Source organism: Homo sapiens, chromosome 12 (genome assembly GCF_000001405.40).
Source record: "Homo sapiens chromosome 12, GRCh38.p14 Primary Assembly".
Taxonomy (NCBI): Eukaryota; Metazoa; Chordata; class Mammalia; order Primates; family Hominidae; genus Homo; species Homo sapiens.
The window spans coordinates 32,885,611-32,897,990 of NC_000012.12; the positions used below are offsets into that span (position 1 = coordinate 32,885,611).

At 43.5% G+C, this 12,380-nt stretch overlaps 1 protein-coding gene across 10 annotated transcripts in view, besides 3 other annotated features; it reads right to left on the reverse strand.

Moving 5' to 3' along the window:
- PKP2 (plakophilin 2) overlaps positions 1 to 11,167 on the reverse strand; it is a 106,023-nt gene extending 94,856 nt beyond the window's left edge. For 6 of the 10 annotated variants that reach the window (NM_001407156.1, NM_001407155.1, NM_001005242.3 and 3 more), the window contains exon 1: positions 10,899 to 11,167. In NM_001407156.1, the coding sequence (NP_001394085.1) occupies positions 10,899 to 11,121 (223 nt within the window). In that variant the 5' untranslated portion in view covers positions 11,122 to 11,167. Of the gene's footprint in view, positions 1 to 8,669; positions 9,169 to 10,898 lie in introns of all 10 variants that reach the window. The other 4 variants (NM_001407160.1, NM_001407159.1, NM_001407158.1 and 1 more) reach the window with 2 other exon arrangements.
- Positions 4,770 to 5,270: an enhancer, noted in NCBI's record as "H3K4me1 hESC enhancer chr12:33043314-33043814 (GRCh37/hg19 assembly coordinates)". NCBI's record gives its function as "activates a minimal SCP1, AML or CMV promoter by ChIP-STARR-seq in naive H9 embryonic stem cells {active_cell/tissue: H9 hESC(naive)}" and the evidence as "EXISTENCE:reporter gene assay evidence [ECO:0000049][PMID:30033119]".
- Positions 11,166 to 11,275: a silencer, noted in NCBI's record as "silent region_4340". NCBI's record gives its function as "represses an Ori minimal core promoter by ATAC-STARR-seq in GM12878 lymphoblastoid cells {active_cell/tissue: GM12878}" and the evidence as "EXISTENCE:reporter gene assay evidence [ECO:0000049][PMID:35858748]".
- Positions 11,476 to 11,575: a silencer, noted in NCBI's record as "silent region_4341". NCBI's record gives its function as "represses an Ori minimal core promoter by ATAC-STARR-seq in GM12878 lymphoblastoid cells {active_cell/tissue: GM12878}" and the evidence as "EXISTENCE:reporter gene assay evidence [ECO:0000049][PMID:35858748]".

Genomic DNA, 12,380 nt, shown 5'->3' on the forward strand with positions numbered 1-12,380 from the left:
GTGAGACTGTGCCACTGCACTCCAGCCTGGGCAACAGAGCAAGATTCCGTCCCCCCCCCAAAAAAAAAACTAAGTTGATTTTCATAATCACAGTTTTGTGAACAATTTTATTATGTAATTGGTTAGATTGAATGTATTTATGAAATCAAATTGACAAGTCTCTATTGTGGTTCCATTACCTGTTTCTGGGCATATTTATAAAAAACCAACTACAGTTTCTTTTATAGTAAGCAAATGACAGAGAACTGCTAAACAAGCAAGATCTTTATATAGCCTGCTTCTATTAGAGAGAAGAGAGGTGCACTCACATTCAGAAAAGCGTCTTTTCTTTCAATCTTCTAGCACTGAGTGTGGTTTAAAAAAAGTGATTTGGTTCACACTGAGCTCTAAAAGGAGGATTTCTGGAGATGAAGATACATGTAGAGGTGCCCACAAAAACAGGTGTGGTTAAATGTAACCACAGAAATCAGCAGGTGTTCGCTATTAGTATTGATTTAAATGCTGCAGGTAATTGGGCTAACAACCGTGAGCAGTTGTCCTCACAGTGTGGATTCACGATGGTCTTTTAGAAGGAAAGAGCCTGAAAGTCTAAAAGCTTATCATCTTACTGTTATTTGGTCTTTCTACAGTAATCTCTGGCTTGCAACAGCTCTCGTTCTCCACAAATCTTAAAAGATTTAACTTCTCCCATTACAGTAAAGTTGAGGACATGTTATTCCAGGTAAGACATGGGATCTTGCCACTTATTCAGAGGAATTTGTATAGCAATTCATATTTGAATGGATCCTTAAAGTCATTTACTAGCAATAGTAGGAGCTTAAAAGAAAGCAGAAAATATACTGAGACTCATCAAAGACCATACGTATGTCCGCACTCCTGAGTTGGTGAAGGAATTTTTTTTGTTTTTTGTCTGTCTGTGTTGGCATAAAACATACGATTCATTTCCTTGGACTTACATATTTTTTAAAACTATATTTTATCTTCTATTCTTACTTTCCAAGAAGAACAACCAGATATTGATGGAAATCACAACAGCCCAAGTAAGCATTTGCTTAGGCTGGAAAATAAGTAGAATTTGTTGGTTTAGAAAACTATAGTTGGCTGGGCAGGGTGGCTCACACTAGCAATCCTAGCACTTGGGGAGGCTGAGGTGGGTGGATCACTCGAGTCCAAGAGTTTGAGACCAGCCTGGGCAATATAGTGAGATCTCGTCTCTACAAAATTTTAAAAATTTAAAAATTAGCTGGGCATGGTGGCATGGGCCTGTAGTCCCAGCTACTTGGGAAGCTGAGGTGGGTGGATTGCTTGAGCCCTGGAGACAGAAGTTGCAGTTAGCTGAGGTTGGGCCACTGCACTCCAGGCTGGGTGACAGAAAGCAAGACTCTGTCTCAAAAAGGAAAAAAAAAAAGGGAACACTATGGTGAAAAATTGTTTCAAAGCAGATGAAAGTCTAATAAAGTTTTATACTATTGAAAATTTAACCAATAGTTGTACAGTGCTATATTTTGTGACCAGTTAGCTCACATAATCAACCATGAGAAACAACTTGGTGTATCAGGTATATGCTAGAAAGTACTGGCTATGAGTTCTTAAAACGTTGAATATGCCAGGGACAGAACAGCTCTCCTGCAAGAGTGGGCCACACATACCACATGCCAGTGTGCGACTGACTAATCCATTGCTGTTATCACTCACACGATATACCAGCCACTAGAGTCCTTATTTTTCAGGAGCCCCCTAAGCAATTCAAGAGCTATCTTCTGATATACCAATTTATGACATTTGGGGGGCAATCCTCAAATCACTGCTCTAGGTAATGACAAAAACACATTTTAAATGTCCCCCTCCCACTTTTTTTATTGAGATGGAGTCTTGCTCTGTCGCCCAGGCTGAAGTGCAGCGGTGCGATCTTGGCTCACTGAAACCTCTTCCTCTCAGGATCAAGCGATTCTTGTGCCTCAGCCTTCCGAGTAGCTGGACTACAGGTGTGTGCCACCATGCTGACTAATTTTTGTATTTTTAGTAGAGATGGGGTTTTGCCATGTTGGCCAGGCTGGCCTCAAACTCCTGGCCTCAAGAGTTCTACCCGCCTCGGGCTCCCAAAGTGCCAGCGCTTTAGGCGTGAGCCATTAAATGGCCCTTTTATATCACAGGTGTTCATGTCATATTTTGTTTGAGGTATTAGAATATGTAATTGTAGAATTTGTTATTATAAACTGGTAATTTAGCATCCTGGTGAAGTATTAAATAGAAATATCCTGGAAGTATCTAAATCTGTTCATTTCTCAGCCAGGCACGGTGGCTCATGCCTGTAATCCCAGCACTTTGGGAGGTCAAGGTGGGCAGATCACTTGAGTCCAGGAATTTGAGACCAGCCTGGGCAAAAAGGCAAAACCCCATCTGTACAAAAAAAATACAAAAATTAGCTGGGTGTGGTGGCGTACACCTGTAGTCCCAACTACTCAGGAGGCTGAGGTGAGAGAATGGCTTGAGCCCGGGGGGCAGAGGTTGCAGTGAGCCAAGATGCACTCCAGCCTGGGCAACAGAGACAGACGCTGTCTCATGAATGAATGAATGAATACACTGTTCATTTCTGTAACTGTGTCTTTACTTTGGCATTCCTGCCAATTATTTGCTGAGATATCTCATGAGACTTTAAGACTTGTAAGACTTTATAACTTCCATGGCAAATATCACATTATACTCCCAATAATATAAAAAAAGGTGAATTTATAGAACTCACAAATTATTTTTTGCTTTAAAATACTTACTACAGGTTTTCTTTGTAATGACTTTCAAGTCATTATATTTCCCCTGCCTCTCACGTGCCAGGGTTAACCCCTCCCAACTGATTCATAACTGCTAACCCAACTTTTCTTTTTCTTTTTTTTTTTTTGAGACAGATTTTCACTCTTGTTGCCCAGGCTGGAGTGCAATGGCACGATCTCGGCTCACCGCAACCTCCACTTCCCGGGTTCAAGTGATTCTCCTGCCTCAGCCTCCCAAGTAGCTGGGATTACAGGCATGCGCCACCACGCCCAGCTTATTTTTTCTGTACTTTTAGTAGAGACAGGGTTTCTCCATGTTGATCAGGCTAGTCTCAAACTCCCGACCTCAGATGATCCACCCGCCTCAGCCTCCCAAAGTGCTGGGATTACAGGCGTGAGCCACTGCGCCCGGCCTCTTTTTTTTTTTTTTTTGAGACAGGGTCACTCTGTTGCCCAGGCTGGCGTGCAGTGGTGCATTCAGAGCTCACTGCAGCCTTGAACTCCTGGCCTCAGGCGATTCTCCTGTCTCGGCCTCTCAAAGTGCTGGGATTACAGGAAAGAGCCACCATGCTAGGTCTGTTCCTACTTTAAATCCACCAAATCTGTCAAATGTATTTTCACAAAACTCCTGCACTTTTCATGTTTCTTCCCTGTGGAAATATCTGTGACTCACAATTATCAAATTCTTTAACTTGCATTCAAGATCAGAGGAGAGGGGTGAAGGAGGCTGCCTATAAGGGACACAACTGAACTAAGTTAACTGGGCAAGAGAAGGAAGGGAGGGAGACAAGGAGGGGTAGAAATACCAAGCAAGATAAACTGCCTGTGTGTGTTTGGTGGGGAGCAAGGGTAGTGGCCCCAGGGATGAAGTTTGAGAAGTTGCAGGCATTAGATCACGAAGAACTTGGAATGCTGTGTTCAATAATTTTACTCTTGCAGATAACAGTAAGAAACTGAAGGAATTTAAACTGGGAAATGATGCAATGAGATTTTAGAAAGTTCACTCTAGCAGCTGTGTGGAGAATGGATTGGAGTGGGGCCACGTTAAAACAAAGAGGTTATTTTCTCTTCCAAAGAGATTTTGACAGAAAGAACTGTATCTTACACTACCACTTCTAGCACAGTCTTGTATCAGTACTTGACAAGTTAATTGTTGATTAGTCAGATTACCTGTACATTAGAAATATCCTAGTTACACAAATTCAGTTTGCGCTTAATCATTCAGGCAGGTATGTATTCTGTGGCTCACCAGAATGGAACTAAAATGTGAGTATGATAGTCACATACATGCTTTTGTCTTGGGGTAGATGGAAGGTGCTCAAATAGTTTCGACTGTTCTCTGTCATTCTGGGTATACGGAGAGGAAGGAAAGTTGCTTCCCCAGAATGTAGGCAGACTTTTATTAGAAAAGCAGACTTTGGGCCAGGTGCAGTGGCTCATGCCTGTAATCCCAGCACTTTGGGAGGCCGAGGCGGGTGGATCGGTCAGGAGATCGAGACCATCCTGGCTAACATGGTGAAACTCCATCTCTACTAAAAATACAAAAATTAGCCGGGTGTGGTGGCACACACCTGTAATCCCACTTACTTGAGAGGCTGAGGCAGGAGAATCGCTTGAACCCGAGGAGACGGAGGTTGCAGTGAGCCGAGATTGTGCCACCGCACTCCAGCCTGGGCATAGAGCGAGACTCCATCTCAAAAAAAAAAAAAAAAAAAAAAAGAAAAGCTGACTTTGTTCATTTTGGCAAGGTTGTTTCTATATTTGAATAATATATGTTTACTATCATTCTTTTATCTGTATGGCTTGTGTATTTATCTGTAATATTTTGGTGGCCTATAAATTCATATTATCTGTCAAGAAAAGTTCCCATTTGTTTTCATTCTTCAATGAAAAAGAGTAATCAAGATCCAATAAGCTTGATGCTCACCCACACCCACCCCATAAATAGCTTACTGAGAGATTCAGAAAAAATAATCCATTAAGCTTCTAATGAAGGTTTTCATCCACAAATTCTGGAAATCAAGGAATTGCAGAACTTTGATTATGACTGCTTAGGTTAACGAATGTTATTAAGTCTAAAGCTGATTATTCCAAGAATATAAATATGTGAATTATTTTAATAGTAATGGCAGGTTGTGTTTTCAAATGCTTAAGTTTCTTTTTTTCCAACTGTCCATTTTTATTTAAATCTACATATTGAGCTCTCAAGCTTTTGTCTTTAAACACTTTAAGAACATTACAACTGTTTTTATGTCCAATATCCAATTACCAGAAATGGCATTATAGAAAAGATACACAGGCCGGGTGCGGTGGCTCACGCCTGAGATCCCAGCACTTTGGGAGGCAGAGGTGGGCGGATCACCTGAGGTCAGGAGTTCGAGACCATCCTGGCCAACATGGTGAAACCCTGTCTCTACTAAAAATACAAAAAATTAGCTGGGCTTGGTGGCGGGTGCCTGTAATCCCAGCTACTCGGGAGGCTGAGGCAGGAAAATCGCTTGAACTCGGGAGGCAGAGGTTGCAGTGAGCCGAGATCGTACCACCGCACTCCAGCCTGGGCAACAAGAGCGAAACAAAAAAAAAAAAAAAAGAAAAGAAAAGACACACAACAGGTTTTTAATGTTTTTATTATGAGAGCACTTGATAGTTTGTTTAGTAGTCTTACTCTACTAGTCAGGGGAGCCAGGTGGCTCACTCTAATAGAAAAATAAAGTTTTCTCCTAATTTATTGTCTATTCCCACTTGCATTGCTGCCTTTTACTGCTAATTTACTTCCTCAGGAGAAGTAGGGTATTTATCTTCATATATTTGTAGACATGCACAAGATACCTGAAGTCCAACATTTGTCTCAGAATTGTATAATTTAAACTTGTTGAATGTCATCTGAGATGGAAATAAATCATCTTATAGGCCATATTAATCATCTGATTTATAAACTCCAGAGGTTTTAGCATCATATTTATTATATTTCATTACTATCATAGTTTGCCAATAATATGCTTGTTCTCTCAGAGAAAAAAAATCAAAACTTTTAATAATTTGTATTGATCAGACTAGGAATTCAATTGTAGGGTAAAATCAATGTTAAAATGTGAAGATAAAATAATGTAACTATGTATAGGCTTATTTTAATAAATGAGAAAAAACTGTAAAGTTGCTATCTAAAACTTTGAGGAAATGTGAACTACAAATACCTAGAATATTTAATACAAAAGCTACCCTCTGTTCCCATGACTGTGGAACTCTTAGCACAGGGCATACAGATAACAACAGTCTTTTAAAAGCCTAAATGAACAGTCTTCCTTCCTTTAAGGTAATTTCCTGCGTCTTATCTGTCACATATAGAACAATGTACTTTCATAATCAAACCCTGCTACTCTGGGTCTACTTGTGGTTTCTTACAGTTCCACGGATTCTGAAGCATCCTTACTTTACCCTCACACAAAACTTCACCCCTAAGAGATGTGTTCTCAACATTTCCAGGGGTGTGAAGTTTTTTTTGTTGTTGTTGTTAACTACCATTTTGTTAACATTCTATTTCACTTACTATAATCAGAAGGATTTCTTTAATTATTTTTGGACTTACCGAACTCAATCTGCTTGGCCCTGGACAAAAAGTGGCTCACAGGCCATATTACACAGACACAGAGGTGCATTTAATCCAGTGTGCTACTGACACCTCACATTCAGAGCAGAGGGCCATGACCCTGCCACCCGCCATCTCACTCTTTTTTTTCCCTTTCCTGATCCCTCCTACTTTCTGAACGATTAGTCACCTTGCTCCCCAGAATTGCTTCATTCCTGGGATTCCTTTTTGTCAAAGGAAGAATTTATGCAGAATTTGAACAATGTCTAACTTTTTTTTAACAGTAGCGCCTAGTAACTACCTTTCTTTTGCTACCCTGAGCCAATTTTCAATTCTCTCTCCAGAATTCACTTTTTTTTTTTTTTTTGAGATGGAGTCTCACTCCATCGCCCAGGCTGGAGGCAGTGGCATGATCTTGGCTCACTGAAACCTCTGACTCCCAGGTTCAAGCAATTCTCCTGCCTCAGGCTCCCTAGTAGCTGGGATTACAGGTATGCACCACCACACCTGGCTAATTTGTTTTTTATTTTTAGTAGACACAGGGTTTCACCATGTTGGCCAGGCTGATCTCAAACTCCTGACCTCAGGTAATCCACCCGTCTCGGCCTCCTAAAATGGTGAGACTACAGGCATGAGTCACTGCGCCCAGCCCAGAATTCACTTTGATCACAGATATTGAAAAGCAGCTTCACCAAGGAAATCACCTAAGATAATAGTGTGCCTCAAGTTTTGTGGTGGATTTCCAAAGAGGTTGTAAATATAATTGCATTAGGAGATTGTTCACTGTCCTTTATAAGTAGTAAATACAATTTAAAACACAATTTTCTCTCCACTCAGATACCTGGGGTGGGGGCGGGGGGGGGGGGAGAACTGTGTAGCAAGTAGTACTTTTAAGGCAAGTGTAATAAATAGGATATGGATGCTTTTAATTTTTCCCTTTGCCAATACTTGCAATTCTTAAATGTCTTCTATTTTAGAAAAATATTTTAACTATTAGCTACAATACAGACTTACTTCACAATGCTGCTATACACCTCTGAAGGCCCCTTCCCAAAGAGTTACAGCCAACTTTAAAATGTTCAGCACAGTTAAAAATAACACCAAAAGTCACTGAGTGATTTACAATGAAAACCACCCAGCTATACTAAGGCATTGGAAAGAAGACAAAGGGTTAAAGACTCTTGCAAGATACTTATCAACAAATCAGCCACATTTATCTCATCTCTGCTTTCAGCAGGTTATCCGCTGTCTCAACCTTACAGGTTTGTCAACAACTCAGAATTCTCCAGGGCCCTGGAGCTAATAGCAGTTAACATCAGGGTCTTTTCTTCCTGGAATTTCTTGTGTTGATACAGGATTTTTTCCAGACCAGCACTGTTTCAACAATTGCTTGTCTGTTTCAACTTGAGAGACAGGATAGTAACATGGAAATAATAAAAATTATACTCAGAACCACCACGAGCCCCCAGACCTTTTCAAAGAAGTTTAATTAAACAATACATACGAACCACCCCTGGTAATTGTTTCATGGCATGCTAATGTTAAATTCCTTTGAAGCTGATTTCCTTTTTGAGTCTTAGAAAGCTGAGGCTTTAAAGTAAGTAGGTGTTGTTTGCTGCCTTATCTCTCTGTCTGATTTGTACTTCTGTGTAGGCTGCAGAGTGTATTTCAGCTTACTGGAAAGCTGCTGTTGCAATCAAAATATTTCAAACGCTTTGTTCCTTAGTTGGAACAGCCAGTCAAGTAGTTGACCCAAGCATTATAGCAGAAGGACCAAGATAGTGCCCTTTGTTCTACCATATCAACTCTGTGAACTGTGAAATATTCATTCTGTTCCCTCCTAGAATGATCTTTCTCCAGTCACCTCCCTATGTCCAGTCCTACTGAATTTTTGAGATCTACCTCCAGGAAGCTTTTCAAAATTTCCTGCCACCAGGAGTAACTTACTTTTTTTTTTTTTTTTTTTTTTTTTGAGATGGCGTTTCGCTCTTGTTGCTCAGGCTGGAGTGCAATGGCGAGATCTCCGCTCACTGCAACTTCTACCTCCCGGGTTCAAGCGATTCTCCTGCCTCAGCCTTCCGAGTAGCTGAGTAGCTGGGATTACCGGCATGTGCCACCACGCCCGGCTAATTTTGTATTTTTAGTAGAGATGGGATTTTACCATGTTGGTCAGGCTGGTCTCAAACTCCCGACCTCAGGTGATCCTCCCGCCTCGGCCTCCCAAAGTGCTGCAATTACAGGCATGAGTCACTGCGCCCAGCCAATTTACACTTCTAAACTCCATAATATATTAGCCATTCTTTTGGGTCACTTACTACTTTTTATTTGGTAATGTATTTTTCTAGCGGTTGGCTTCCTTCTTCAAACTTTTTGCTTTAAAGCAAGCAGAGTCTTTGTGTTTAATTCAGCACCTGCACAGCGCCCGGCATGAAGAACATACTCATTTGATGCTTGCTGAATTCATCACACAGGTGATGCATTACTTTGTAGAAAGAACAGATTATGTGTGGAGTTGGGATTAAATTTCCAACCATTGCTGACAGACACATACTTCATATGTGAGATGGATTCTCATATCTATCTCAGCAATTGTTTCAAGAATATAATGAAGATTCTGGAATAGGCACATAGTAGATGCTCAGCAACATTCCCTTTTCTTCTGTTCATGGCTCCATTCCCTCCATTTATGGAAGAGTTGTATCTGCTTGCTCTCTTCCTAGCTGGCCATTCTCAGAGGATAAGAAAGAATATCTAATATGCCTCCTGTGTCTCCTACGCAGGGGAAGCTGATTTGGTTTCAGTTTAGCACTGGACCTATGGGCACAGAGAATGAATGGGTGTAATGGCTCCACTTTTCAAAGACTGGCCTCACTCATCCCGCAGTCTTTAGTCAGACCCCTAAGTCTAAATAAATATAAGGTCTTTCCCTCCATGTATTGCAGCAGTTCTGTGTTTTCTAGACCTCCCCAGCCTTTCAGAACTTCCTCAATTTTATTTAAAGAAAAATGGGAGGGGGCCACGGAGAGGCTTAGCATCTAACAAATCCCACTTTGTATTAATCATTTTAAAACTTAATGATAAAACTGATAAGTTTAAAATTCAGGTTTGGGAGTTTAAATACCAGCTCTGCCACTTACCATCTATTAGAGCTTCAGTGTTACTTAACTGCTTAGTTTCCTCATCTGTAAAATGAGGATGAAAATACCTAACTCACAAGTTTTTAAATACATATATATATATATATCTCAAATGAATGCAAACCACATCGCCCAATTCTTGGCACATAGTATGCACTCAGTTATATTAACTACGATCATTGAACATCTTCTCTTTACCTTTCAAGTATGTTAATATTGACTACGTCATCCTTTAGGATTCTTTTACACACACAGTACAGCCTCCCAGACTCTGCTGTTTGAAATCTCTGGTCTGGCCTGTTAGAATTTTTCTGTTTTCCTAATAGAAACTAGAATGGGTTAGCCTACATTCGCCAATGCCCAAGTTACTTCATACAGAAACAACTGAACGTTGCAGGAAACAGATATTCCAACTTAATTGCTCAATTTCTTTCCTCTTCTTTTTGCTATAAGCCAACATAGTGCTTTTATAATGCAAACTCACATACACAGCAACAAGAAGTAAAACAAGGGTCACTGAGTTGATCCCATCACCTGACTTCAGCAGGGGAGAAAAGGATACATCATGATCTCTAATTTTCACAAGTGGCTTGCCATCTTCTTTCCCTTCCACCTCCCCCGTCTATCAATCATGAACATAGTGTGCATGTGTGTGCTTACACCCCTTTCACCTTCGGGTTTAATTTTTTGGAGGGATCAGACTTGCATCACGCCCGCACTGGTGGGGGTAGGAAGCGCAGCTAGGCGGGCACGGCTGTTGCCGGCAGGGCCAAAGTCCCCTACCTCCTCCTCGGCGTGTTTGTTCCCTGGACCAAAGCCTCCTAACTACTTTTCTTCACTCCCTAGATCCACCACTCGCCTCCCACACAGGGTGGAGCGCCCCGAAGTACTTGCATAAGACAGCACAATCCCAATTTATAGGTTGTAGGAGCGCCAGTGCTGTCGGTTTTTTTCCCCAAGATATTTATGGGGGTCATTAATTATTTAACAAATCTAATAAAATTGAAGGGCTCCTTCTCCCAGAAAAAGATCGTACACACCAAAAATTCTGCATAGCATCTCAAGGTGTTTATAGACTCCCTGAACCTTCAAATTAAGTCCGCACCAGTGAGGGGCGCGGACCGGCGGAGTAGAAAAAGAAAGGGGTGAAATCTTGAAGTGAGTTAGTTAACATTGATAGATATGTACAATATTTAATATACATAGGTACCTATATGACAAAGCTGAGTAATAGGTTATGGAAAAGAGTGCTTTCCACAAGCAAGTCGGTCATACCGAAGACGGCGAGCAACAGGTGGGCAGAACACGGGGTCCCGCACTCCCAGCACGCGGGGTGAGGGCGGGATAGGAGGAGGTGACCGGGTGTGGGGCAGGGGGCGGCGCCGGGGAGCGGCGGGCTCCACTCACCGTTGCCCACGGAGCTGCGGCCCTTCCGGGCGAGGGTCTGCTGCACCTGCTCCTGGATCCGCAGGCTCTTGACTGTCTGGCCGCCGCGGCCGCTGCTCCCCGCCAGCTTCAGCTTGGCCTCGGAGGGCAGCGCCAGGCTGGAGCTGTCCAGTTGTCCCAGGATCTGCTGGCCCAGGACGGTCCGGATGTAGCCGTACTCAGCTGGGGCGCCGGGGGCTGCCATGGGGCCGGTGGGGGCGACCGAGCTGCTCGCCTGCCTCTGGACTCGCGGGCGAAGCCGCCACGGAGCTGGGGGCGCTGGCGCGAGCCCCGCCCCGCTCGAGTCCGGCCCCGCCCCTGGCCCGCCCCCCGCGCCGGTGAGAGGCCCGGGCCGGGGGGGAGCTCGGCCTCGTGGGCCGGACGCCCGGCCTTCCCTGAGGAGGGGGCGCGGCTCCGGCCGGGCACGCGCAGTCGGGCCCGGGGGCGGGGGCGGGGGCGGGCCGGACCCGCTGAGCGCGCGGACACCTGGAGACTTGTACCCGCCCGCGGGGAGGTGGGGAGAGGGGCGCGGTTCGCCTGGGGTCGCGCACGTTGTCGGAGTCCCAGCGGATACCGCCTGCCGGGGCCGCGCCCCGCTCTGCCCACGCCCCGCGCTGGACAGGATGGATTTCCGCTCGATGCAGGGAGGGGCTGCCCTGCAGGCAGGTGAGCCCTCGAGAGTCACTCCTGTTCTTGGACTGAGGCTTGCCTCCGGGATCCCCGAGCGAGTAGTATGTCTGGTTAGTCAGGCTTTGTCGCACTGTTGGAAACGTTTCCTGGTTTTCCTGGACCTGAGGGTGAGAAAGGGCTATTTGGTCAGGCGGAAAGGGCAATATGAGGGAAATGTGCCAAGAAGATAACGTGTGAAATAAAAGACTTTCTAAAGAGAGTGTTTTTTTTCTTAGTACAACGTCAGGACTATGTACTTTTTGCACAGATGCAGTCCCAGAAACATATGTTCTTCCTCATTGAGAGCTTCTGTTTTCTCTTGGATACACAAATTGTACCCAGTACTCTTGCTAACCCATTCCTCTCTTACGAACACACCCACACAGAGAAACTCCAACAAGAGGCTCTAGAGAAGAAATGAATTTTAATAGACGATGCTTTTTAAATAGCCCTGCTAACGTTGATTAAGTCCTCTTTATTACAGGCTCTTTGTAGAGAGATCCACGGAGAGGGCCTCCAACTTTCAATCGAATCTTCCACAACTTGTATTTATCGTGCTATTAATTATGTTTCACCGCAGTTGACTACTGAGAACTTGAGAGCTAAGCTCAACAGAAAGGATCCTTGACCTTAAAGTTTACAACCAAAGCCACTTGTCCTGATTTGCCTCTTTGGACTTAAGAGGCAGAAAGAAAAACATGTATCCCTGGTATTAAGATAATATTCCCTTTGATTGCTTGGGTTTGTATGTTCACTTTCCCTCAAATCACTCAATTGCTGCAAAACCCCACTTAC